General features: G+C 44.5%; 1 protein-coding gene and 1 long non-coding RNA gene across 3 annotated transcripts, besides 2 other annotated features; one reads left to right on the top strand and one right to left on the bottom strand.

Annotated features, from left to right (window-relative positions):
* Positions 1 to 8,400: 8,400 nt before the first annotated feature.
* Positions 8,401 to 18,652, bottom strand: GABARAPL1 (GABA type A receptor associated protein like 1). 2 transcript variants are annotated; one of them, NM_031412.4, is made up of 4 exons: positions 18,310 to 18,652; positions 13,388 to 13,466; positions 10,971 to 11,089; positions 8,401 to 9,742 (listed from the first exon to the last, which is right to left on the bottom strand). In NM_031412.4, exons 1-4 carry the CDS (start codon positions 18,397 to 18,399, stop codon positions 9,677 to 9,679), a joined length of 354 nt encoding a protein of 117 aa, NP_113600.1. In that variant the 5' UTR covers positions 18,400 to 18,652; the 3' UTR covers positions 8,401 to 9,676. The 2 variants fall into 2 exon arrangements, with proteins under 2 accessions (NP_113600.1, NP_001350527.1); NM_001363598.2 differs by lacking the exon at positions 8,401 to 9,742 and having other exon boundaries at positions 10,547 to 11,089.
* GABARAPL1-AS1 (GABARAPL1 antisense RNA 1) lies at positions 16,462 to 17,880 on the top strand. The gene is made up of 3 exons (NR_170310.1): positions 16,462 to 16,887; positions 17,160 to 17,475; positions 17,567 to 17,880. It is a non-coding gene; the product is annotated as a GABARAPL1 antisense RNA 1 (long non-coding RNA).
* Positions 18,520 to 18,779: a silencer, noted in NCBI's record as "silent region_4237". NCBI's record gives its function as "represses an Ori minimal core promoter by ATAC-STARR-seq in GM12878 lymphoblastoid cells {active_cell/tissue: GM12878}" and the evidence as "EXISTENCE:reporter gene assay evidence [ECO:0000049][PMID:35858748]".
* Positions 18,873 to 19,415: an enhancer, noted in NCBI's record as "H3K27ac-H3K4me1 hESC enhancer chr12:10364713-10365255 (GRCh37/hg19 assembly coordinates)". NCBI's record gives its function as "activates a minimal SCP1, AML or CMV promoter by ChIP-STARR-seq in primed H9 embryonic stem cells {active_cell/tissue: H9 hESC(primed)}" and the evidence as "EXISTENCE:reporter gene assay evidence [ECO:0000049][PMID:30033119]".

The following is a 27,933-nucleotide window of genomic DNA, read 5'->3' as shown; positions in this document are numbered from 1 at the left end:
AGTAGGATGGATAGGGATTTTAATTGAATGTAGCAATAAAGACCCAGGGTTTTTGTTTTTGTTTTTGAAGAACAAACAAACAAAACTCCCAACATTAGAGCAGTCATAAGCCGATTGTAAAAAACCAATATTATCCAACTTCAAAAAATAACAATTAAAAGAGGTCAGACGCGGTGGCTCACGCCTGTAATCCCAGCACTTTAGGAGGCCGAGGTGGGTGGAGTTTGAGGCTGGTAGTTCGAGACCAGCCTGGCCAACATGGTGAAATCCCATCTCTACTAAAAATACAAAAATTAGCCAGGTATGGTGGCAGGCGCCTGTAATCCTGGCTACTGGGGAGGCTGAGGCAGGAAAATCGCTTGACCCCAGGAGGCGGAGGTTGCAGTGAGCTGACATTGTGCCACTGCACTCCAGCCTGGGTGACAGAGTGAGACTTCATCTAAAAAAAAAAAAAAAAAAAAAACGAAAAAACCAGCCTGGCCAATATGGCAAAACCATCTCTTCTAATAATACAAAAATTAGCCAGGTATGGTGACATACGTGCCTGTAATTCCAGCTACTAGGAAGGCTGAGGCACAAGAATCACTTGAACCCCAGAGGCGGAGGTTGCAGTGAGCCAATATTGTGCCACTGCACTCCAGCTTGGGCGACAGAGTGAAACTGTGTCTCAGAAAATACATACATACATAGATAAATAAAATTTTAAAAACTCAAAGGATCATTTTTAACTTTTCCTTGGATAGGCCCCAATAAATCTGTTACAAACAAAATACCCGAATCATGGTCCCCAGGTCTTCATTCCTTGTTAGGCTGAGATATGCTGGATTGTAGACTTATTTTTATACTGATTGTTAATTTCTCTCATTCATAACACTTTATCTAGTAGTCTCAAGATTCCATTTGCATAGATAAAACTGTGTTTAAAATGCTGTTTTCTGTACAGTAAGTCCTCACTTAACATCAATAGATTCTTGGTAACTATGACTTTAGGCAAAATAACATGTAATGAGACTAATTTGATCATAGGCTAATTGATATAAACAAGAGTTACTTTCCCACAGCATGTTTCTGGTCAGAAAAGACACAACCATTTCTTTTTTCTTTTTTTTTTTTTTTTTTTTTTTGAGACAGAGTCTTACTCTGTTGCTCAGGCTAGAGTGCAGTGGCATGATCTCAGCTCACTGCAACTTCTGCCTCCCAAGTCCAAGCGATTCTCCTGCCTCGGCCTCCCAAGTAGCTGGGATTACAGGCACCCGCCACCATGCCTCGCTAATTTTTGTATTTTTAGTAGAGATGGGAGTTCACCATGTTGGCCAGGCTGGTCTCGAACTCCTGACCTCAGGTGACCCACCCGCCTCAGCCTCCCAAAGTACTGGGATTACAGGCGTGAGCCACGACACCCAGCCAAGACCCAAACATTTCTAATATTTAACATTTAAATAAATGTGAGTTATACATACATTTAAGAAAGATTAATAAAAACAAGGTAACTGTTTACCCAATTTATGGTGAATTAGTGAGTGCCACTGGTCCTAGTAGTGGCAGTGGGTTAAATCAAGGAGTAAATATTTGGCCGGGCACAGTGGCTCACGCCTGTAATCCCAGCACTTTGGGAGGCCGAGGCGGGCGGATCATGAGATCAGGAGATCGTAGACCATCCTGGCTAACACGGTGAAACCCCGTCTCTACTAAAAATACAAAAAATTAGCCGGGCGTGGTGGCGGGCGCCTGTAGTCCCAGCTACTTGGGAGGCTGAGACAGGAGAATCACTTGAATCTGGGAGTTGGAGTTTGCAGTGAGCTGAGATCACACCACTGAACTCCAGCCTGGGCAATAAAGACTCTGTCTCAAAAAAAAAAAAAAAAAAAAAAAAAAAGAAAGAAAATCAGTGCTAAAGGAGACTCTAACAGAAAGGAAGAGACCCCCTCAGTGTCAGAGCCGTCTTTTGAGCTATCCAGTTGGGCATATTCTGCTTTGTTTTCCTTGATCCATGCCACATCCTGCATTTGCTGTGACCAATAAACAAAAAAGAGAAACAATCAGAAAGATTTCTGCCATCTAGCCTAAGTTATTGCCTTTTTTTCCTTTTTTTTTTTTTTTTTTGAAATGGAGTTTTGCTCTTGTCGCCCAGGCTGGAGTGCAATGGCACAATCTCTGCCTCCCCAGTTCAAGCGATTCTCCTGCCTCAGCCTACCAAGTAGCTGGGATTACAGATTCTCCTGCCTCAGCCTACCAAGTAGCTGGGATTACAGGCACCCATCACTATGCCCCGTGCCCAGCTAATTTTTGTATTTTTAGTACAGACGGGTTTTCACCATGTTGGCCAGGCTGATATCGAACTCCTGACTTCAGGTGATCCTTCCACCTCGGCCTCCCAAAGTGCTGGGATTACAGGCGTGAGCCACCTTGCCTGGCCAGTTATTGCAATTTCAGTTTCAAGTAAAATAAATCTTAATATGTGAGAATGCTATTTAATGGTTTGCAAAGGATTTACTTGTGTTCGCAACAATGTATGATGTAATTATCTTATCTACTTGAAAAGGAAATGCAGAATTTTTTTTTTTGAGATGGAATCTCGCTTTGTTGCCTCGGCTGGAGTGCAGTGGCACAATCTTGGCTCGCTGCAACCTCCGCCTCTGAGATTCAAGCGGTTCTCCTTCCTCAGACTCCCAAATAGCTGGGACTACAGGTGTATTTTGTATTTTTAGTAGAGACAGAGTTTCACCATGTTGGCCAGTCTGGTCTTGAACTCCTAACCTCAGGTGATCCGACTGCCTCAACCTCCCAAAGTGCTGGGATTACAAGTATGAGCCACTGCGCCCAGCCTGGAAATGCAAATTTCATTTGTACAGATGACAGACTAGCCCAAGTCCTAGCTCTAGTCAAGCAGCAGAGCTGGGATTCAAGTTGTTTCCTGCCTCCAGGACATCTTTCTAGTAAGCTCCAAGTGTTTCCCAAAGTTCCTTGACTGGCCTGTTTGTAACATGTCTTTCTGGATAATTTAAGTTGCCTAGTGGTTCAGTCCTATCAAAAACTACTATTTCAATATTTTTGAATGCCAACCATATGCCATTCACTGTTCTGACCAATTGTTGTATATCACTACACAAAAAGTTTCTGCCTTCCTGCACCTCAGGATCTAGAGAGAGAAGACATAATAAACTAGAAAATTATGTTACATGATCACTACGAAGCAAAAAAGACAAAGACCAAGGTTGAGAATGACTAGGAGAAAGGGAAGTAGGGGGAAGGTGTTGAATATTAGAGATGTTCAGAGTTGGTCTCCTTGACATAGTATCTAAGACTTGAAGGAGGTTAGGAACTAGCCAATTTTAGCACGTAAAATATGGCTTATTGTTACTTTTATCCTTTGAATACCATGTGCATATTGCTTAAAGAAGCAATAAAGCCATCATCATTCTTTTACTGAATGGTATGAAGCAACTTTGAGCCTACTAAAAGTGTAAAAATAGAAAACATGTTTCAACTTCTCACCCAAAAGTTCAGGATCACTTTATTCAAGTTTTAGGAGCTAAGTACTTCTAAACAGAAGTCCTAAGGGTCTTAAATACACTGCTTTTGAAAACAGAACTACTGAAATAGATGGCCCCACCGTGATGAAAACACACCAGGAGAATGACTTGTCTTTTGTTAGTCACTGTTGAAAACATGCACACCTGCACAATGGCATAGTGAAATGTCATTTGACTACTTTTAAGGGTGATAACTTCCTGTTATTTCAAACTCTGAAAATAATCTAGCCATGGGTACATATACTTAAGAAGTGCCCACAACCAGGAGGAAAAAAAAAAAAAAGGAAAAGAAAATGAGGCAGGGCCCTACACAGGGTAACCAAGCTGAGATCATCAGTCACAGCTTTTGGAACAGGGATTCTAGTATTTGTGTGTGTGGACTTTTTGTTGTTGTTGTTCAGCTACTTATCAAAGGTAAACAAAGGGGTGGGTCGCTGGGCAGTGGGCATAGGTGAGGAGGGAATTCTCCATTACTCAGACAGCCTGGACTCAGAACCACCAAAGGCAAAATGGACTTGTTTCTGAAATATTTGGTAGTTTCATGCAGCTAAAAATAACTAAAGTTAAATAAATGTTTGTAGCTTGTTTAAATCTGGCAAAGCAAAAACATCCAAAAGAAACCACAGCTAGAAATAGTTAATTACAAATTTTGTATAAGAACTAATATGAATTTATCAACTAGTTCATTTTCCAAAATGACTGAATTTGTCATTATTACAGCTGACTTGATGCTGTACCCACGGGCAGGTGGATATGCATGGCCCCCCTCCACACACCACTTCAAAATTACAACACACCTGTTCTATCTGATGGTACCAGTACCAATAGAATGCAGAATTGTAAGCTTAATAAGTGTAACACTCTCAAGACAACTGTAACTGACAAGACTTGTGTCCAAAGGGCCACTGCAGTGACCAGGGGACTGCACTGCACCACTCTGGGGGGGCTCTATTCATATTTTATAGTGATGAGGCAGTGCATGAGGCAGTGATCTTGTCTGCCTGGTTACTACTGTACATTAATCATAATTTGCTTTGTTCTTTTGCGATCTTAACTTCTGATTGCACAATACAGTAAAAAAATTTAACAATGCTTTGAAAGCACAATGCTTTGAAAGAGGAAAACAAGTCAGGGTTGGGGGAAAAATCAAGAAAAGCAGAATAGACTGCCATTCACAAGTAGAATGATTTGTCTAGTCTCCCTCCACCTGACAGGGTAAGACCCATACTGGGGAGCACTAAACCTGGATGGCACAGGCATTGTGTCTCTCTTGATGGAAGAGGCTTCAATGTTTATACTACATAGAGAGTGACCACATATTTCGTCCAATGGGGGGGGGGGGGTCATGTGACAGTGAAATAAGGAACCACTAATAAATCAATCAGGACAACCGGCATAATTCAAGACTATCTTTGGCAAACTTAAGATGTATGCTTACCCTACATATATTTGAAATCTTTCTACCGAAGTGTATGGAAGAGCTAAGGACTCACTCATCTTTGATGTTCATGTCATACTGGCCTCCCTAATCTCATTTGACACATCATTCAACCTTTATCCCCAGAGAGAAGCAAGTCAATCAGAGTAAGCCAATCTAACTAACAATCTAACTAATCTTAACATGGAACACTGGGCCAGGTTAACGAAGGGCTTCTTAAACTACTTTTAGCTCATGACAAGCCTCACAATGGCCTGACGGCACAAAGAAGCATTAAAAGCTTGACTAGCAGAAAACATGGAAGCGGCGCTGAGAAGAACTGACCTTCAGTAAAGAAGTGCCAAATCCAATCCAGCCTGCTGAGAAGTGACAGCATGCTGGCAGTCCTCAGAGCCCTCGCTTGCTCTCGGCACCTCCCCTGCCTGGGCTCCCACTTTGGTGGCATTTGAGGAGCCCTTCAGCCCCCCCACTGCACTGTGGGAGCCCCTTTCTGGGCTGGCCAAGGCTGGAGCCCACTCCCTCAGCTTGGAGGGAGGTGTGGAGGGAGAGGCACGAGCGGAACCGGGGCTGCGTGGGGCGCTTGCGCGCCAGCTGGAGTTCCGGGTGGGCGTGGACTTGGCGGGCCCCGCACTCGGAGCAGCCAGCCAGCCAGCCCTGCTGGCCCGGGGCAATGGGGGACTTAGCACCCGGGCCAGTGGCTGCGGAGGGTGTACTGGGTCCCCCAGCAGTGCTGGCCCACCGGCGCTGCGCTCGATTTCTCGCCGGGCCTTAGCTGCCTTCCCGCGGGGCAGGGCTCGGGACCTGCAGCCCGCCATGCCTGAGCCTCCCACCCACTCCATGGGCACCTGTGCGGCCCGAGCCTCCCCGACGAGCACCACCCCCTGCTCCACGGCGCCCAGTCCCATCGACCGGGAAGGAACAAACAACCCAAGGGCTGAGGAATGCGAGCGCACGGCGCGGGACTGGCAGGCAGCTCCACCTGCAGCCCCGGTGTGGGATCCACTGGGTGAAGCCAGCTGGGCTCCCGAGTCTAGTGGGAATGTGGAGAGTATATCTAGCTCAGGGATTGTAAATATACCAATCAGCACCCTGTGTTTAGCTCAAGGTTTGTGAGTGCACCAATCGACACTCTGTATCCAGCTGCTCCGGTGAGGACGTGGAGAGTCTTTATGTCTAGCTCAGGGATTGTAAATACACCAATCAGCACCCTGTGTTTAGCTCAAGGTTTGTGAATGCACCAATCGACACTCTGTATCTAGCTGCTCTGGTGGGGCCTTGGAGAACCTTTATGTCTAGCTCAGGGATTGTAAATACACCAATCGGCACTCTGTATCTAGCTCAAGGTTTGTAAACACACCAATCAGCACCCTGTGTTTAGCTCAAGGTTTGTGAATGCACCAATGGACACTCTGTATCTAGCTCCTCTGGTGGGGCCTTGGAGAACCTGTGTGTGGAAACTCTGTATCTAACTAATCTGATGGGTACGTGGAGAACCTTTGTATCTAGCTCAGGGATTGTAAATGCACCAATCAGCGCCCTGACAAAACAGGCCACTCGGCTCTACCAATCAGCAGGATGTGGTTGGGGCCAGATAAGAGAATAAAAGCAGGCAGCCCCAGCCAGCATTGGCAACCTGCTTGGGTCCCCTTCCAAAAGGTGGAAGCTTTGTTCTTTTGCTCTGCAATAAATCTTGCTACTGCTCACTCTTTGGGTCCACGCTGCTTTTATGAGCTGTAACACTCACTGGGAAGGTCTGCAGCTTCACTCCTGAAGCCAGCGAGACCACGAGCCCACCGGGAGAAACGAACAACTCCAGACGCGCTACCTTAAAAGCTGTTAACACTCACCGCGAAGGTCTACAGCTTCACTCCTGAGCCAGCGAGACCACGAACCCACCAGAAGGAAGAAACTCCGAACACATCTGAACATCAGAAGGGACAGACTCCAGACACGCCACCTTAAGAGCTGTAACACTCACCGCGAGGGTCCGCGGCTTCATTCTTGAAGTCAGTGAGACCAAAAACCCACCAATTCCGGACACACTTCCACAACAGCTGGTGTGACTTTGCCTCTGAACTTGGCTGTTATTTAAAAACTCCACTGTTTCGTAAAATCAGACAGCTTGTCGAAAATGATATGTAATGTCCTATCCAAGGACAAAATTTGTTCCTTAGGAAAATCCAGGAAGTAGGCCTACAATAAGCAAAGCCTACCTGGGAGAGACACAGCCCCTAAATTCAAACGATCTCTTTGGTTTAGCAATGGCCTACAGTCTCTTGCCCTACAGGGACTGTTTCAGATGTGTACAGAGGGTTAGGATCTGCCGCCATGTGTTTTTTGCTTTCTTTCAAATATTCATCCAGTCTCATTCCTAGGTCATGGATAAATCTGTTAGTTTCAAAATACAGTTCACATCTTAAACTCAAATATTAGCTTCCTTTTGGCTTTATCAGGGAACAGCACCTTGATATTTTTGTCATTAGGGACAAGTGTCCATTTTCAATGCCTTCATCAAAATTCCGTAATCTTACATAATTTTCTGCATGTGGTGCTGCTTGGCATGGATCTTTTATAACTTCCTACTTCCTTTTTGGTGACCTTGATATATTCCCTAACTCTCTACAGAGGTAGACATCACTTGGGGATATGACTGCAAGAGATTAGAGAGGGTTAGAGATGGGTCTTAAGGTTTTTCATGAAAGAAGTTTTCACTAATCTGTTTTCCATTCTCTCATTTAACTTGCATGCTCAAAGCCCACCCACATATTCGTTCCTGAATAACTGAACAAGACTTTCATATGGTCAGAAGACACCAAGCTTGTTCTGATGCCGGGAGCCTTGCCTAGGTGCTATTTGCTGCTTTGGGAGATGGTGGCTTCAGACTGACCAAGTTGTGATGGAGAGAGTAAGGTGTGGTTGGGACCTACAGCAAAACCTGGTGCAAAAAGCAATGACGCTCAAACTTCAGTGTGCAGCAGTCATATCAGGAGCTTGTTAAAAATTAGACACCTAACGCTGAGATTCTGAGTCAGCTAAATCTGGGAGATGGCCTAGACATCTGCATTTGTAATTAGCACAGCCCACCCCTTACCTCTACGTAGGCAGTCTTCCACCTTCAGCTTTCAGAAACACATAGAACAGTGACGATGCACTTATCTTTGGAGGAGAAAAAGCTCTCTCTCTCTCTCACACACACACACACACACACACACACACCACCAACGCAGCAGGCACACTGCCCCAGCATAACATTCACCCTTGAACAGCAACTCCTGCTCACTAAAGAACTGAGTAAACATATATGGGTCTGACCATATGTGAACATTCATCACTAACAGCTTTCCCCACTTAGTTCTTTTGTTCAGAGAGTCCACATATCATCTATTCTAATACATACAAAATAAAGGCAACATTGCTGAACTCAGTGGATTTTTAAGGTAAGCAATTATTTTATTTCCTTGGCCTGATGGCATTGACTTCATTATACAAGAACTTGCAGCTGACAGAACTGACACACACATTTCCCCCAAGAGAAAGAACCCTTTTCATTAGCAGAGATGAATTGAAATGTCATGTCTGAGTGCAATTCCTGCTCCCCACTCCCACCCCACAAAATCCCAAAAGTGAAAATAAATCAATAAAATCCCCATGATTTACTAAAAGTCATCCCTCCAAACCTTTCTAACTAGCAGCTGCAGTGGATGATAACCAAGGAGGGAAGCAGCTGGCCATCATGTAGCATTCCTGTGCATGTGAGCCTGAAGGGACAGCAGCATGGGAGCAAGAATCCTGAATGAGAGTAGTATATAATTACCTTACTTCATACTTGCCCCCTCCCTACATAAGACACCTCTGTCCTGATACATGGAAAATACTAGAGGAGATGCTAAGAGTGGTTTTAGTCTACAATTGGAAATGCCTGAGACTTATTAAATTCCAAGGAAGGGGTGAGATAAGGGGCACCAAAGAGAAAGAGCAGGTTAGACAGGGATGCTCAACACTCTTGTCAATTCCAGTTTAATGCTATTTAATAACAAAACCATCTTCTTAATCACAACCACCTTCATGCCTAACCCCTATTTTCCAAAGGTAAGAGATCCCTGTCTAAATTTCTGGGTTGTTGTCTACTGCCACCCCTGGGGTGGTACTGTGATGTCTGAGTGAGATTGCAACCGGGATGGGAGAAAAGAAGTGTGAGACAGGGAAGATCAGGGGCCACAATGCATCAATTACAGTGGGTCTCTTTTGGTCCCCAGGTATGGTCCACTACCACAAGTCCCCTTTCCCTACCTGTCTTGTGCAAATGTCAAAAATAGAATCTCTGCCCAAAGAGAAGGGAGCACAGGGAGTTGCTGCTGGACTGCCATCATCTCTGGCCCCAACTTGTCCACCTCCTGACCCATCTATGAAACTGCACAACAATTAAACCCCAGGAATACTGTAAACTTACATCATCCCCATTCCTCTATCAAAGCCAATCCAACAGCTCTGTCCTGACATGCTTTCTCCCTGGGCCGAGGAAGCAGCAAAAAATATCAATTGAGCATGTGAAAATGTGATGACGGTGTGTGTGGTGTAATGTTTCTAGATGTCTTCACCTTCTGTCTCCTTGCGGTGGGAGCCACCCTCTTTCCCCATGTCGCGCACACACACCCCTCCCCTACCCCCAAGTCCAGGTGCTCCCATCTGCTGGGCTTCCAACCACTCATTTCCCATAGACACTCTCATCACTGTAGGCCACATACAGAAAATAGTCTTCCTCATGATTGTCCTAGGGGAAGAGATAAGACAACAGTTTAGAAAACATATTCATTCATTAGCTCTAAGATGCTGAGCCTCACACAACCTTGTAAAGCAGGTATGGAAGGTATCATTAGTCCCCATTTAAAAGAGGAGCAAAGGATAGGGAGAAGTGGTTGGAATTACACTTTGAGCTCTGAGTTCACAAACAAAAATCCTTCATTGAAAACATATTACACATAGGTATCAGGGATATGAAGATGACTAGGGCACAGTCCTCACTCTTAAAGAGCTCACTCCTAGCAAGGGGAACATAGATACCACAGATGGATATATAATGGGACATATACTAACAGGGAATATATGCTATGCAAAAAAAGATTCAGGATTATTAGAAGTTTACGTAATTCATTAACGGAGCACAATGAGAAGGAAGCATCTTATGCAAAATACTGCAAAAAACAATAGTTATAATCCCAGGTTATATTTTCAGTAATAATAAAGTCCTTCACTATAGTTTCCTCAGATTCTGACACTTCCAATTAAACCACATCACATAAAAATTATTCCTCCTGAGTTTATCTGTTAAGACATGAATCCATTTACAGACTTTGCCTTAATTTTATATTTCATTTTATCTGATTCATTGTGCCCAGATAATGTGGAATCTGTTTCACAGTTTTAGTTTTGTTCTAAGAAAAGTTTCCCCTTGTTTAGTATCAATGTGGTTGTCTTAAGCCAAAACTTCAGAGTTCATAGAAGAAGCTGACTGTGGGGAGAATCCTTCAGTTGGCAGAGGCTGGCCTCAGAGTTAGAAGGAGCTGGCTTTACTATTACGTGCTTTCTCAATCTGTTGCTAAATGGGAGTAAAATAATGAACTGGATTCTGAATGCATTACAAATTACATGCTACCAACCAGAATAGCAGGAACTGCGATGGGCTGACGCTTTGGAACTTTTGCTATCAGGAATCACTTCCTGCTGTTTCAATAAACAGTCCAGCATTAAAACACTATAGTCAGACAAGACTATAGTCAGACAAGATTTCAGAAGGATTAAATCTAGTAGAGTGGCTAATCCCTAAAAAACAAGAGGTATCTAATCTCTCAGAGCCTTACACTGCCATATGTAAGAGGATCCGGATAAATAACACCTTCTGCCCCACTTCTCAGATGTGTTATCAACGCATCTAGAACAAGGGCTAGAGGATGCCAGACTGCACTGGACGGCATCCAGTATTGTGCAACCAGAACCATTACCTCATACAGTTGGCCCATGGTAGCACTGGTGGGAGGGATGGTGTTGTTGACAAAGAAGAATAAGGCGTCCTCAGGTCTCAGGTGGATTCTCTTCCGGATTAAGAAGTAGAACTGGCCAACTGGATGATGGAAGAAGAAAAGGGCAGAAAAGAAAGTAAGAAAACAAGGAATTAGTAGAAGGGTAAGTCCTGGAAAAAAATTCAATTGCATTTTTTCACCTTAGAGTCAGTACCAGCTTTATATACCATCTGAGAAGAGCCAAATACCGGCCTGGAGCTTTCAAAATAAAAAGGGAAACTCGGAAGCCCACACAGTCCCTGACTTGCCATAGTGGAATTTATTCCTCCTTTCCCCTCTTATTCAATCTCAGACCTCATGTTAGCATATCCACTCAAAGCCTGAGGACTACGTTGAAGGAATACCATGTGCATCCAGACCAAAACATTCCCATCACTGTCTAAACCTGACTTGAAACTCTTTCCATCCCCAGACCCTCCCTAAGAAAAACTTAGCAATGGAAAGGGGTCCACTGGACTCTGGTCATCTTAGCACAGTCAGTCACCTCAGTGTTGGGGCATTAAACAAGGTTCAATGCTTTGCCTTTACTTGAGAATACTGAAAATTTTCTAGATGGCTGATATTCAAACCTATTAACTCTGGAGCAAATCAACAAAATCTTTCCAGTGTGTCCTGGATGCAGTGTGTATTCCATTAAGGATCACGATGAAGACTGAATATATGTATTTTTTTTTTTTCCGAGACAGAGTTCTACTCTGTCACCCAGGCTGAAAGCGCAATGGCGAAATCTCGGCTCACTGCAATCTCCACCTCCCCAGGTTCAAGCAATTCTCCTGCCTCAGCCTCCCGAGTAGCTGGGATTACAGGCACGCGCCACCATGCCCAGCTAACTTTTGTATTTTTAGTAGAGACGGGGTTTCACCACGTTGGCCAGGCTGGTCTCAAACTCCTGACCTTGTGATCCACCCGCCTCAGCCTCCCAAAGTGCTGGGATTACAGGCATGAGCCACCACACCCAACAATGAATATATGTCTTATAATCTCAAACAAAATCTACAAAACTTAGTTTAAAAAAATGTAGCTTAAGAAGATGTATTTAATCAGGAAACTCTAAAATATAATCCTCTCAAGAAGCCAGACTGGTTTTCTTTTTGGAACAAATTGATATCACAATTAACAAAGCCGAATTTTGGGGTTTTTTTTTTTTGTTTTTTGTTTTTTTGAGGCGGAGTCTCACTGTGTCACTCAGCCTGGAGTGCAGTGGTGCGATCTCGGCTCACTGCAACCTCTGCCTCCCAGGTTCAAGCCATTCTCCAGCCTTGGCCTCCTGAGTAGCTGGGATTACAGGTGCCCAACAACACACCCAGCTAATTTTTGTATTTTTAATGAAGACATGGTTTCACCATGTTGGCCAGCCTGGTCTCAAACTCCTGACCTCAGGTGATCTGCCCACATCCCCGTCCCAAAGTGCTGGGATTACAGGCGTGAGCCACCACCCCCAGCCAAAGCTGAATTTTAAAATTGGTTTAGGTGGGGCATGGTGGCTCACGCCTGTAATCCCAGCAATTTGGGAGGCCAAGGCGGGTGGATCACCTGAGTTCAGCAGTTCAAGACCAGCCTGGCCAACATGGTGAAACCCTGTCTCTACTAAAAATACCAAAAAAAGTAGCCGGGTATGGTGGCAGGTGCCTGCAATCCCAGCTACTCGGCAGGCTGAGGCAGGAGAATCGCTTGAATCCAGGAGACGGAGGTTGCAGTGAGCCAAGATGATGCCACTGCACTCCAGCCTGGGCTACAAGAGTGAAACTCCATCTCAAATAATAATATTAATTAATTAATTAATTAATTAAAATAAAAGTGGTTTAAATAATGGGCATCTGATCCTTTCTTTCAATGTCTTATGCTTTGCTGTGTCAAAATCCAACAAGACATGGTGATGGGAAAGAACTATTGAGTCTTCTTGTTTTTGAGACCGAGTCTCGCTCTGTTGCCCAGGGTGGAGTGCAGTGGCATGATCTCGGCTCACTGCAAGCTCTGCCTCCCGGGTTCACACCATTCTTCTGCCTCAGCCTCCCAAGTAGCTGGGACTACAGGCACCCGCCACCAAGCCCAGCTAATTTTTTGTATTTTTTTTAGTAGAAACGGGGTTTCACTGTGTTAGCCAGGATGGTCTCGATCTGACCTCATGATCCACCCGCCTCAGTCTCCCAAAGTGCTGGGATTACAGGCGTGAGCCAGGGCGCCCAGCCTGAGTCATTTTTTAATCAGATAACTCCAGAGCATCCCACTCACTTCCTTCAAGTATGTACTGCCTCTCAATCTCACAATCTCATGCATGTAATGAGGATCTAGAGAGTTTTTTCACCGGAGGAAGGGTCAGGGAAGGCAAAGAGCATTACCAGTAAGGTCAGAGGGCACTAGGTACTTCCTCTTGTCCAGATCAGGCACCCTGGCTTTTGGAGCCTTCTCTACAATCACCTGGAAGAAGAGGAGGAGAGTAGGAATGAAAACTACAGAAGGCAATCTAGTATTTTTCCTTCTACACCCTAGAGTTGCCTAGTTACTACTGGAAATGAATCTGTCTAGGCCCAGGACACCTGTTTCATTTCTTATCCCCCCACCCCTTATAAAATTATACAAAAAAAATAGGCTTCATGAGGTTATAGCTGCATTACTAAAATAAAAATAAACTAGAGATTGTATATGATGAAAAGTAAAAAGAACTTTGATTTTAAGTAATTACAGGTTACCTGTAAGATCTACTATAGGACATATACCTATTGGTATTTATTTATTTATTATTTATCTTTGAGATGAAGTCTCACTGTCACCAAGGCTGGAGTGCAATGGCTCCCTCTCAGCTCACTGCAATCTCCACCTCCCGGATTCAAGCAATTCTCCTGCCTCAGCCTCCTGAGTAACTGGGATTACAGGCACATGCCACAACGCCTGGCTAAGTATTTGTATTTTTAAGAGAGATGCGGTTTCACCATGTTGGGCAGGCTGGTCTCAAACTCCTGACTTCAAGTGATCTGCCTGCCTTGGCCTCCCAAAGTGCTGGGATTACAGATGTGAGCTACCGTGCCTGGCCACCTTCTGGTATTTAATTAGAGCATCAAGAAAACTGGGTTTTCTCATATGGTCCTGATCACCTGTAAGTTATTATTTCTCATAAATACCATTTATTAAAGGTACCAATAACGTGGTTTAAATCTTTGTCAAAATTTCCAAGAACTGTAAAGATTGTTCAAACATTATTAAATGGAAAAGAAACAGTGTTAAAACAAGTCTGACAATGATATCCTATAATATGATGTCAGCACAACAAGCCATTTATAGATATTGATTATGTTAGGACTTTAAGGGATTTTCAATGTCCACATTATATACTTCTAATAAAGATCATGTATTTCTGTACTAGATCTATAAAAATATAAAAGATTTTTTTATACACTAAAACTTCCCAAACAGAAAATATCTGTTATAAAATCATGAGCTTTAGGCTTTCGATTGTTAGGATTTTAAGGGATTTATGTCTACGTTATATACTTCTATAGTTCAAGTTGTAAAAAAATCATGTATTTCTGTACTAGATTTATCAAAATTTAAAAGATATTTTTAATACACTAAAACTTACCAAACAGAAAATATCTATTGTAAAATCATGAGCTTTAGACTTTTAGTTTAGAAAATATAATCATTGCCGGGCGCAATGGCTCATGCCTGTAATCCCAGCACTTTGGGAGGTCGAGGCGGGCGGATCATCTGAGGTCGGGAGTTCGAGACCAGCCTGACCAACATAGAGAAACCCCATCTCTACTAAAAATACAAAATTAGCCAGGCATTGTGATGCATGCCTATAATCCCAGCTACTCAGGAAGGCTGAGGCAGGAGAATCGCATGAACCTGGGAGGCAGAGGTTGCGGTGAGCCAAGATCGTGCCACTACACTCCAGCCTGGGCAACAAGAGCAAAACTCGGTCTCAAAAAAAAAAAAAAAAAAAGAAAAGAAAATATAGTCATTTTAGTTAGAACATATGGGAAATGCAGAAAAAAAAGTGAAGACGCAGAAAAAAAAAAAACTGTATGAGTACTTCTAGTGGCTGTGTGATCTTCAACAGGTCACGTAACCTCTCTCTCAGCTTCAGTATTCCAGTAACTTTTTTTTTTGAGGTCGAGTGTCACATGTGTCGCCCGGGCTGGCGTGCAGTGGCCTGATCTCGGATCACTGCAACCTCCACCTCCTGGGCTCAAGCGATTCTCCTGCCTCAGCCTCCGGAGTAGCAGGGATTACAGGCGCATGCCACCACGCCCGGCTAATTTTTGTATTTTTTAGTAGAGATGGGGTTTCACCATGATGCCAGGCTGGTTTCGAACTCCTGACCTCAAGTGCTCCACCCGCCTCAGCCTCCGGAAGTACTGCGATTACAGGTGTGAGCCACCGTGCCCAGCTTGAAAAGAAAACTTTCTAACACGTCTTTAACAAAGTCATGGTATTGATATGATGTGAATGTGAGTAATAAATAACATTTTACAGGAAAATGCTTCATAAATTATAAAGAATTATCTAACATAATTAACTTGGGGGGGAGTTTGAACTTTTTAAATTAAAAGGAACAAATTAAAATTAGTAAAAAAAAAAACAACAAAAACAAAAACAAAACAAAACAAAAAGTTGTTTTGTGTTCTTGTAGAAAAAATCCTGAACCAGGAAGACCAGAGGGACATGATCACATTTTAAATTTAAAAATAAAAACTGAAATAGGGTAACGTAAGCCAGGAATTAAAAGGAAAAGGCAGAAAGAGGCTAGCATTGTGCCCCAAAGGAACTCGGACACCTAGCAGTAAGAGATAAAAACCACAAAGGAAGACAGATAAAGAAAGTGATAAAGCAGAGGGCAATACCTGGAGGGAAGGGAGGGGTTTGGAGAGGAAGAGAAGGGGGAGGGGTAATCATTAAAATATTGGTTTCCCAGTACCAAGGTTAAGTTTCCAGGAATCCCAGCTCTACTCCTCACTATGGTAGACCCCTGGGCTAGATGCTTTGCCTCTTTGGGTCTCAGTTTTCCTCATTTGTAAAATGTGACTAATACTCAGTAGGGTTATGAATTTTTAAAATAGACAATCTGTTCCTAACAGTTTTTTTGATATGTTGTATCTTTGAAGATAATTTCAAGATCCCACCAACCCTTCCTCTCTGAAGGCACAAGCACACCTCTTCTTTTCAACGCTGGCTCTGAAGAAATATTGGTGGGGCTAAGTTCTGGTTATGCGAGCAGTCAGGGTACGCCATTGCTTTAATAACACCAATGGTCAAGCTGGAATGGGCTTCAGGAATCATTACTCTAACCCTCTTTTCTGTAAACAAGACACTCTAGCACAGCACGATTAAGAGTTCTGCCCAAGGATGCAATGAATTCCCAGAACTAGAACCAAATCAAGGAACCTGCGTCATAACTAGAAAGAAGGTCACAGACTGGTCACCTTGGGAGCAGCTCACCACTGGTTAAAACATAACCCTAGGAAAGCTGAAATCTGAGTGACAGGCTTAATGGCTTAAAAATTATCACAGGAGTAAAACATTTAACACCAAACTATGAGCAGGAAAAGAACAGAATGCTCTAAAATATTCAGAGTGAATGCACATAAATATTTATCTATTTCCAATACTTAACAGTGTAAAGTCCACAGCACGTCATTAATTCTGGTTAATACAACTATATTAGAAACTGAGAAACAATATGGCATGGAGGTTAAGATACCCGAGAGCTCCACAGTCCTTCAGACAGGGTTGGAATTCCAGCTCAACCACAGATCAGCAATGTGAAACCTTTAGGAAGTTACTGCATTTCTTTGTGCTTTGAATACTCCATCTGTAGAACGGGTAATCGTGTAAGGAAGTAAGTCAATGATTACAGACTGAGTACTTATAATACCGCTAGGGTAAACTATCAATAAAACTTGATTGTATTTTTTAAATATCATTGCTCAAAAGATTGGTATCACCAGAACTGGGCAAAATTTTCAGGTATCCAAGGTCCAGAAACCAGGAAAGTAATTTGTAAAGGATCCTTTCCCGAGTAAGGGATTAGCTCACCCCTCTATAAGCTGAAAACCTTTTTGTAATTCCTGGGGAATGAAGAGCCCTAATGACTTTTTTTTCTTTTTAAAGGAAAAGGGTTACAAGAGGTTTCTACTGCTGGGCTAAGGCCCTGGTGGCTTCTGGTAGCTATAAAACCACGAACGTTAGGTAAGGATTAGAGAAGAAACCCAGAGTGGCTGTGAGTCAAGAAAAGACATCAGATAACAGCAATTATTTTACCATTATGTGACACGTAATACTAATGTTCCTACCTGAAGATAAAGAGCACAATTTTAAAATCTCCGCTCCTCCATTTCCAAAATCCAACAGCTGCTGGTCCCCCTACCACTTAAGCCATATTCTGCCCTCCAATTCGGCTGCGCAGCCTGCATTAGAGAAACACCAGGCAAGTGGGCGGGGGAGGGGGTAATGGGGAAAACGCCCGGATGCTGAAAGATACCTAATACTTTTCTGTTCCTACTCACTGCCTGCGGTAGTTTTAACTACTTAAGCCGGTGTCCAAAACGGAGAAAAAACGTCTCAGTCCTGCCTTATCGCGACCAGGTACCAGGTGATCAGAAATCAACACGAGGAGGCTGGCTGTCCCCACACAAGCCCCGGAGCCTAGAACGATGAGGCAAGAGGGCTGTTGGGCAGAGAACGTGACCTTGTTTTCCAGGCCAGGACTGTCTTGTGCTCCCCTAACCCCCTGTAATGCAAGAAAATTACTGAATAGCTTCTGAACCTTTTCGTCCCAAGACCAATGATATGAGAGCCAAAGTCAACTTCATTAAAGGAGAACCAGCCAAGGCAGAAATCGACTGGGTTTGCGCAAACCTCACCGCACAGCACAATGTCCCTGCGTTCTTAAAGGCAGCCAATCCATGGCCCCGATCTAACCAGTCTCGCCCACAGGGGCCCTATTTTGTGCACCGCAACCCACACACGGTCTCAGCTGCTGAGACCGTGTGTGGGTTGCTGAGTCACTGAAGACGGCGGCTCGGCCCCCAAAACGCCGTCAGCCCTGAAGTGGGGTTCGGGGCCCAGGCATACGGGGTTTTAAAAGCTCTACAGTCTGGACGTCCATTGGCTCTGGCACTGAAGGGCGTTCAGGATTAAGTAATTCTCGGAACCTCCCTTCTCCAGAGCCGCCTGGGCGCCCCAGGGAAGCCATCTCGACTACCCGCCCCCGCCCCCGCGGGCCCTTCCCCTCCCATCCCCTCCGCTCCTCTACACTCACGGGGACCCTGTCCGGATATTTCTTCCGGATCTTTTCTCCTTCCTTTTTCCGATACTCAAAGGGATGGTCCTCCTTGTACTGGAACTTCATGATGCACCGCAGGGCTTCCGAGATCCCCGCGCGGGGCCTGCCTCCTTCGCCGCTGACCCTGTCCCGCTCCCTCAGCCGACGTCAAGGTGTGCTCAGAATAGCTGCAGAAACGTCCGCTCCGGGGGCAACAGCGCTGGGCCGAGTGTGCAGGGGGGGTTCGGGGCGGGGATCTCGGGTGAGCCTGCCTGGAGGTAGAGGAGAGCCAGATGGAGAAATACCGGCGGCTTTTCGCTAGAGCTGGGAGCACAAAAACAGCTGGGTGGCGCGTCGGGCTGTGACGTCACCCCGCGAGCCCCGCCCCGCCCCCCATGCGCCAGGCGCCCAGGGCAGGGGGTGGCCGAGCGCTCTGTCTCACTGCGTTTCCTTTCTGGCTAACCTTTTTCACAATCGATGTCACTGCAAACATCAAAACATTCGAGTTATGTTTTATTTTGTGACTGTGAAATTAAAGATGGTTTTAAGACAAAAAAAAGATTTAAACATGTTTTATTCCCCCTCCACTGTTTTTCTTGGTTGGGCCCCAAAACAAATACAAAAGGCGAAAATCCAGCCTTTTCCTGCTGGTTGGGATCCAGCCTCAGGAGAAAAGAGGGCCAGGCCTCCTGGGATCCCTTTGGCCAATGCAGAGCTGTCCCGTGCTTGCACCGTGCCCTCTGCGCGTTCCGCTGCCCCTCCCGCGGCCCTCCTCCCGCGCTGGCGTCACAGTGTTTGGGCGGTGCCGCAGTTCGCTCCTGAACAGCAACATAAACAGAGCGTGACTCAGGAATCTGAAGAGAGGAGTCAGATGAAGGACACGGAGTGTAATCAAAGTCTAAAGGAGACATGATGTCAGTAAGGACTACCGAGGGCTTCACGTACAATCAAATATAGAAATGATTCACTTTCTAGCCGGGCGCGGTGGCTCACGCCTGTAATCCCAGGAGGCCGAGGCGGGCGGATCACCTGAGGTCAGGAGTTCGAGACCAGCCTGACCAACATGGAGAAACCCTGTCTCTACTAAAAATACAAAATTAGCTGGGCGTGGTGGCGCATGGCTGTAATCCCAGCTACTCTGGAGGCTGAGGCAGGAGAACCGCTCTAACCCGGGAGGCGGAGGTTGCGGCGAGCGGAGATCACGGCGTCGCACTCCAGCCTGGGCAACAAGAGCGAAACACCGTCTTACAGAAAAAGAAAGGAAGGGAGGGAGGGAGGGATTCACTTTCTGCCATAAACTCAGAAAGGGGGCTCGTCTTCTGGAAAAGAGAGTATCAAGCAATTTAGGTGATGACCTCAGTTGTTCCCCCACATCTTATTTAGTTCCAGTGGTTAGGTATCCCTCACGTGACTAGAAAGCGCTGCCTGGAATGCTAGTAGAAGATTGGGCATTAGGGCAGGTGAGGCGAAGCCTCGTTCTGGATTTCCCCACCTAGAGTCAAAGAAGAAAGACCTTCCAACCAGTACTGTAGGGCAGCGACAGGGAGGACTGTGGAGTTTGCAAAGAAAAAGAACAGTGAAAAGGGGCTGCGTTGCCCATACAAGTCGGGTGAGTTCTGATAAATATTAGATAACAGCAGCCCCGTGGCCTATCTTCTTCAGTCGGGGTCTCAGTGTCTCTAATTTTAAAAACACCCACAGGGGGCCAGGCGCGGTGGCTCACGTCTGTTCTCCCAGCACTTTGGGAGGCCCAGGCCGAGGATCGCTTGAGCTCAGGAGTTCAAGACCAGCCTGGGTAACATGGCAAAACCCTGTCTCTACAGAAAAAACAAAAATTAACAAGGCATGGTGGCGCGCTCCTACAGTCTCAGCTACTGTGGAGGCTAAGGCAGGAGAATCGCTTGAATCCGGGAGGCAGTGGCTGCAGTGAGCTGAGATCGCCCACTGTACTCCAGCCTGGGAGAGAGAGCAAGACTCTGTCTCAAAAAGAATAAATAAATAAAAATAGGCCGGGCGCGTTGGCTCATGCTTGTAATCCCAGCACTTTGGGAGGCCAAGGTGGGTGGATCACGAGGTCAAGAGATAGAGACCATCCTGGCCAACATGAGACGAGTGAAACCCCGTCTCTACTAATAATACAGAAAAAATTAGCTGAGCCTGGTGGCGCTCGCCTGTAGTCCCCAGCTACTCGAGAGCCTGAGGCAGGAGAATCACTTGAACCCGGAAGGGAGAACCCGGGAGGGTTTAACTATATTTGCATCAAAACTAAAATGAGGCCGGGCGCAGTGGCTCACGACTGTAATCCCAGCACTTTGGGAGGCGGAGGTGGGTGGATCACGAGGTCAGGAGATCGAGACCATCCTGGCTAGCACGTGAAACCCCGCCTCTACTAAAAATACAAAAAAATTAGCCGGGCGTGGTAGCGGGAGCTTGCAGTGAGCCAAGATCGTGTCACTGCATTCCAGCCTGGGCGACAGAGCTAGACTCTGTCTAAAAAAAAAAAAAAAAACCTAACATGAGCGACTGAAAATTAAACTGTTTTCAATTTGAAAGTAAGACTTAAAATTATAAACATATAATGTGATAAAATAACTCATGGATTTTATTTATTTTATTTATTTATTTGATATGGAGTTTCTCTCTTGTCGCCCAGGCTGGAGTGCAATGGCTCCATCTAGGCTCTCTGCAACCTCTGCCTCCTGGATTCAAGCAATTTTCTCCGGCCTCGTCCTCCTGAGTAGCTGGGATTACAAGGCGCCCGCCACCGCGCCCAGCTAATTTTTTTGTATTTTTAGTAGAGACGAGGTTTTGCCATGCTGCCAGGCTGGTCTCGAACTCCTGACCTCAGGTGATTCGCCCGTCTCGGCCTCCCAAAGTGCTAGGGTTACAGGTACTAGCCACCGCGCCCTGCCCTCATGAATTTTTATACATAAAGATTGAAAGATGCCATGAAGAAAAATACATGAAGAAGTGGGACTATGTGATTCGTTTTCTGGTGCCAGTAATGAAACTTAGTTTCTTTAATTTTGTGGGTGAGTTTTGTATTTATTTTTATTTATTTATTTATTTTTGAGACAGAATCTCACTCTTTCGCCAGGCTGGAGTGTAGGGGCGCAATCTCGGCTGACTAAAACCTCCTCCTCCCGGATTCAAGGGATTCTCCTGCCTCAGCCTCCCGAATAGCTGGGACTATGGGCGCCTGCCACCGCTCCCGGCTAATTTTTGTATTTTTAGTAGAGACGGGGTTTCACCATGTTGGCCAGGATGGTCTCGAACTCCTGACCTCAAGTGATCCACCTTCCTCGGCCTCCCAAAGTGCTGGGATTACAGATGTAATCCGGCCTATGAAAGTAAATTTTAAATTAACACAATCGAGTAAAACATTTCAAAATGTCTTATTTAACCAAAATCAAAATACTACATTAAAAAGCTCACATTTTCTCAAATACATTTTTGATGTTTCTTGTACTTTTTAAAATGATTTCAAGGGTTAGAAGTTTTTTCAATCTTTTATGAATATTTTCAAACATGTAGAGAATTTTGACAAATAGTATGATGAACACCACTATAACCTTCACCTAGATTTTTTCCGTTTGAAAGTAAATTAGAGGACGGGCGCGGTGGCTCACGCCTGTAATCCCAGCATTTTGGGAGCCTGAGGCGGGTGGATCACGAGGTCAAGAGATCGAGACCATCCTAGCTAACACTGTGAAACCCCGTCTCTACTAAAAATACAAAAAATTAGCCGGGTGTGGTGGCGCGCACCTATAGTCCCAGCTACTTAGGAGGCTGAGGCAGGAGAATCGCTTGAACCCGGGAGGCGGAGGTTGCATTGAGTAGAGGTCATGCCACTGCACTCCAGCCTGGGTGACAGAGCGAGACTCCGTCTCAAAAAAAAAAGTAAATTAGAAACATGACACCATCCCAATATACAAATTATATCCCCCCTGAGAATAAGAACATGTTCCTCCATAACCACAATAGTTATTACACCTTAAAAACTACTAATATTTTCCAACATTATCTAATATAGAGCTTATATTTATATTTTCTCAATTGCCCCAAACATACTTTTTTTTCTCCCCCACTCAAGCATTTGAATCTGAAAACAGGTGGAATTTACCATAAAGATAGGTCTGATTTCTTCGATTTAGGGTCTCTCTCTCTCTCTCTTTGTGTGTGTGTGTGTGTGTGTGTGTGTGTGTGTGTGTGTGTGTGTGTAGATGGCGTTTCACTGTTGTTGCCCTTCAGCTAATTGCAACCTCCACCTCCCAGGTTCAAGCGATTCTCCTGCCTCAGCCTCCCAAGTAGCTAGGATTACAGACATGTGCCACCACACCAGCTAATTTTGTATTTTTAGTAGACACGAGGTTTCGCCATGTTGGTCAGGCTGGTCTCGAACCCCTGACCTCAGGTGATCCGCCTGCCTCGGCCTCCCAAAGTGCTGGGATTCCAGGTGTGCGCCACTGCACCTGGCCCAGGGTCTCTTATATTATCACATTTAAATTGATAGATGAAACCAGAATTTTAGTGCATTGGTCTCCAATGACAAATACAATAGCTAGAGGTTTAGTTATTCAGCCATTTTCTAAATTTGCTTGCTAAGCTTGGAATTTAAACAAGGGATTTTATTACTTAATTTGAATTTTTAAATAAGCTGCCATCCACAGATCAAGTGTCAAATACCACCACGATGTGCCTGGCTGACTCCAAGACTAGGAAAATATTTCCTGCCCCTGAACTATACATGAGTGGGTTTTCCTCCTTAATAATTTGTGTGCTTACATTGCTTCATTGCAGCTGCCACTACCTTAGTTTAATCTTCATTTTTTAAAAATTTTGGCTTCGTTCTAATGATCTGTTGCTATATAGCAAACCACCTCAAAGGAATGGCTTAAGATAATAGCATCATCTATTTTGCTCACAAATCTGAAGTAATGGGGCTCAGCTTTGGTTTTAATTAGTGACTGGTGATAGGATCTTCTTGGAAGGCTTCTTCACTAGCAGTTTTGGTAGTTGGACTGGGAAGACTCAAACAATTGGCGCTCCTCAGCCACCTCTTCCTTTCTCTATAGGATCTCACCATGGGTCTCTTCCCATAGTGGCTGCAGGCTAGCTAAACTTCTTTCATGGTACCTATGGGCTCTCTGGGCAAATTTGCCAAAAGAAGTCAGCAGAAAGCACATGGCCTCTTGTAATCTAGTCATTTTAATTTGAAAGGGACACTTCTGCCTCATTCTGTTTCTCAGAGCAGTCACAAAGTTCTGCTCAGATTCAAAGGAAGGTGCCACAGACTCCACTTCTACCTGGAGGAAGTATTGGAGAATCTGAGAATATGCTTCAAAATCACCACTATTGGGCCAGGCGCGGTGGCTCACGCCTGTAACCCCAGCACTTTGGGAGGCCAAGGCGGGCAGATCACCTGAGGTCGGGAGTTTGAGACTAGCCTGACCAACATGGAGAAACCCCGTCTCTACTAAGAATACAAAATTAGCTGGGCGTGGTGGTGCATGCCTGTAATCCAAGCTACTCAGAAGGCTGAGGCAGGAGAATCACTTGAACCCGGGAGGCAGAGGGTGCAGTGAGCCAAGATCGCGGCATTGCACTCCAGCCTGGGCAACAAGAGTGAAACTCCACCTCAAAATAACAAACAAACAAACAAACAAAACATTATTACTCAAACACATTAGTAAATAGTGTTCAGTCTTGTCTTTCCCACTTCTAGGAAAAAGAGAGCTCACTGATGCCAGACTAAATGTAATAAAGCTATATTTCATTGTGTCATTTCTCTTCTTAATATCATTCAGTGGTCAGCATTCTCTGTAATCTTTGGGAGACAGTTCAAATTCTTTACAACGGAAATAGAGTACTTACAATCAGGCTGTTGTTTCTCTCTTGAGGCTCATATATAGCCATTTCCTATCATTGTACTCTATGGTTCAGGCATACTAAATTATTTTCCCTATATTGGTATTGTTTCAGACCACTGGATATTCAAAGCCTCCTTCCTGTGAAAACGTTTTCTCCCTTTTTTTTTCTGACTAGTTTCTATAAAACATTCAGGGTTTAGTTCAGGCATCATCTTCTCTAGGAAACCTTTTGATCTCCTTTGCCTGAGTTCTGTATTCCTTCTAGGCACTTGCAAAGTATTGTGTGCTTATCTTTGCCATAGCACTGATAATGATGCATTGTTCATTAGATAAGATGATGCTGGCTGGGTGTGGTGGCTCACACCTGTAATCCCAGCACTTTGGGAGGCTGAGGTGGGCAGATCACCTGAGGTCAGGAGTTCAAGACCAGTATAGCTAATATGCTGAAACCTTGTTTCTACTAAAAATACAAAAAGTTAGCCAGGCGTAGTGGCTCGCGCCTATAATCCCAGTTACTTGAGAGGCTGAGATAGGATAATTGCTTGAACTGGGAGGTGGAGGTTGCAGTGAGCCGAGATCGTGCCATTGAACTCCAGCTTGGGCAACAAGAGCAAAACTACGTCTCAAACAAACAAACAAACGAACAAAAAACATGATGCCCATTACATGTCCTTTTTTTTTTCGGGTGGGGGGTGCGGGGGGGGATATATGTATGGTTTCAGAAGTAACTACTCTTTTTACATTGACACCGCATGGTTCTAGTGGAACTCACCAATCATAAAATCTCATTGCCTTGGCCATAAGATTAATCAGAATTTTTCCTTAGAATTTCTTACATATGAACTAAAGGAAAGGAGCCCCTTCTTCTTTGATGACGAAGTTTAGATGATGTCTTAGTCCATTCCAGCTGCTATAACAAAATACCATAGACTGGGTGGCTTATAAACAACAGAGATTCATTTCTCACAGTTCAGGAGACTGGGAAGTCCGAGATCAAGGTGCCAGCTGATTAACTATCTGGTGAGGGCCTGCTTCCTCATAGACAGCTGCCTTCTCACTCCAACCTCACATAGCAGAAGGAAAGAAAGAGGGTTCTGTCTCAGGCCTCTTTTATAACGGCACTAATCCATTTATGAGGGTTCCATTCTCATGACTTAATCACCTACCAAAGGCCTCACCTCCTAATAACATCATCTTATGGGTTAGGATTTCAGTGTACAAATTTGGCGAGGAAACACACGTTCAGACCATAGTGGATGCTATGAGATCAGGGGCTGCTATCGTTTTGGTCTCAAGCAGTCACCAGATAAATGAGATAAAGATAACACTCAGAGAGGCAAGTTATATGATAGGGATAGAGAGACATAGAAATATATACAGAGTTTGGGGGAGTTCTAAGGGCATTCAGGTCCCTAGTTTCAGATAGCCCGTTCCAGTAGTGAGAGATAGTTTATTTTCTTATTTTCTGTATATTATGGTGTTTTTACATTAAAAAAAAAATTCTGGCTGGGGAGAGACTGTCTTTACCAGACCTAACCAGTTCTTAGAGATAGCAAGGGCTCAGCTGAGAACCTGCCTTTCATATGCAAACTCACCAATCTAGAGCCATACCTCCTATATCCAACCTGTATATTCCAGGGGGCAACATTTCTCTGCCTTAATCATAGGAGGACCAGTTACCAGGCAACCAGGGACAACCTTTGTGGTTTAGAGCCCATAGAAATATTTCAAACTAAATTCTTTACCCTTCCCTTTCCTGTTTTTCCTATGGCAACCCCAATGAAAGCTTTGACCTAAACCTTACCCTCGCTCCTGTCTTCTTTCCCCTGACCTCCCTGGTGTCTTTCCAATGTGTGGCCTGTATGACATGCTGTGACTGCTATCTCTGCAACTTGTGAGTAAACTTACTCACAAGTAAACACAATTACTTGTCAGAAAATGTTGTTTTCCTGAGTGTCTCCTCTGTCTCCTTTTGTGTCCTCCCTAACTGACTACCTTATGAAAGAGTGCAAAAACAGCGTATATTGTTTTTATCTCCTCAGGGCTTTGGATAGCTCATGACACAAAGACTCAAAATATGCAATATAGCATCATCAAAGGAGCAAAGGATAGACTTCCGATTTGAGACGGTGGAATGAAAAGGTATTTTTGGCTTTGCTGTCTCCTGAGGTGGCACTAAAACAACTGCGTGATGGGTTGAATTGTGTCGCCCAAAAAGATGTGGAAGTTTTAACTCCCATTATTAGTGAATTTGTCCTCGTTTGGAAACAAGGTCTTTGCAGATGGTTAAATTAAAATTAGGTCATTAGAGTGGATGATAGACAATAGGACTGGTGTTCTTATCAAAGCGGGGAAATTTGGACACAAAAACAGTCCTGAATAAAGGAAAGAGGATGTGAAGACACAGGAAGAATGTCATCCACAACACAAAGAACACCTGAGGATCTCAGAAGCTGGGAGACAGGCATGGAACAGATTCTTCCTCCCAGTCCTCAGAAGAACCTCACGCTGCTGACACTTTAATATCAGCCTTTCAGCCTCTGGAACAGTGAGACAATACATTTCTGTTGTTTGAAACATCTACTTTGTGGTACTATGTTACAGCAGCTCTAGGAAATAGATAGACTGTAAAAGAAAAAAGGAAGTAAAAAACTCACAAAATCAGGCCAGGTGCAGTGGCTCATGTCTGTAATCCTAGCACTCTGAGAGGCCAAGGCTGGCAGATCACCTGAGGTCAGAAGTTCAAGACCAGCCTGGCCAACATAGTGAAACCCCATCTCTACTAAAAATACAAAAATTACCCAGGCATGGTGGCGTGTGCTTGTAGTCCCAGCTACTCAGGAGGCTGAGGCAGGAGAATCGCTTGAACCCAAGAGGCAGAGGTTGCAGTGAGCTGAGATCACGCCACTGCCCTCCAACCTGGGTGACAGAGTGAGACTCCATCTCAAAACAAACAACCAACCTCACTACATGAGAGAAAAGGTGGAAAGAGGAATCAGTTTTAAACTCTAGAAAGAAGGCTAACAAATGAGAAATAACTTACAAAGTAGTCTTAAGGAATGAAATCTGAAGTGGGCAGTAAAGAAAGTCTAAAGTAGCCTATTCATTAGATGATTTAGAAAGGTACAGGCATTTTTACTACCAAGTTATCTCCTTACCCCTATATGGCCATGTAATTTCCTCTCTCCCATCCCCGTATAGTATTGAGATTTATTCTTTATAGAGAATAAACAAAGAGTCTATGAATTGGGAAAGCTAGAGGAAAAGGGCTCTGTAGAAGAAGCATACTGAAAACAGAAATATTAAGTGAGAACTTCCATACTAACTCCTAAATCCCCAACCTTCTTCCTTCTAGTCTGTTCCAGTTACTCAGCCCAGCCGACAACCTGCCCAGTAGAAGACCATGGTTGGATGCATGTAGAATTCTACAAGGTTGTTGCATGCATGTAGAATTTCTTTCTTTCTTTTCTTTCTTTTTTTTTTTTTTTTTTTTTTTTGAGACAGAGTATTATTGCTCTGTCGCCCAGGCTGGAGTGCAGTGGCGTGATCTCGGCTCACTGCAACCTCTGTCTCCCGGGTTCAAGCGATTCTTGTGCTCCAGCCTCCCGAGTAGCTGGGATTACAGGAACTCACCACCACCCCCAGCTAATTTTTGTATTTTTCGTGGAGACAGGGTTTCACCATGTTGGCCAGGCTGGTCTCCAACTCCTGACCTCAAGTGATCTGCCTGCCTCAGCCTCCCAAAGTGCTG

Source organism: Homo sapiens, chromosome 12 (genome assembly GCF_000001405.40).
Source record: "Homo sapiens chromosome 12, GRCh38.p14 Primary Assembly".
Classification (NCBI taxonomy): Eukaryota; Metazoa; Chordata; class Mammalia; order Primates; family Hominidae; genus Homo; species Homo sapiens.
Note: the sequence above shows the minus strand (reverse complement) of the source record. Positions and strands in the feature narration are given on the sequence as shown.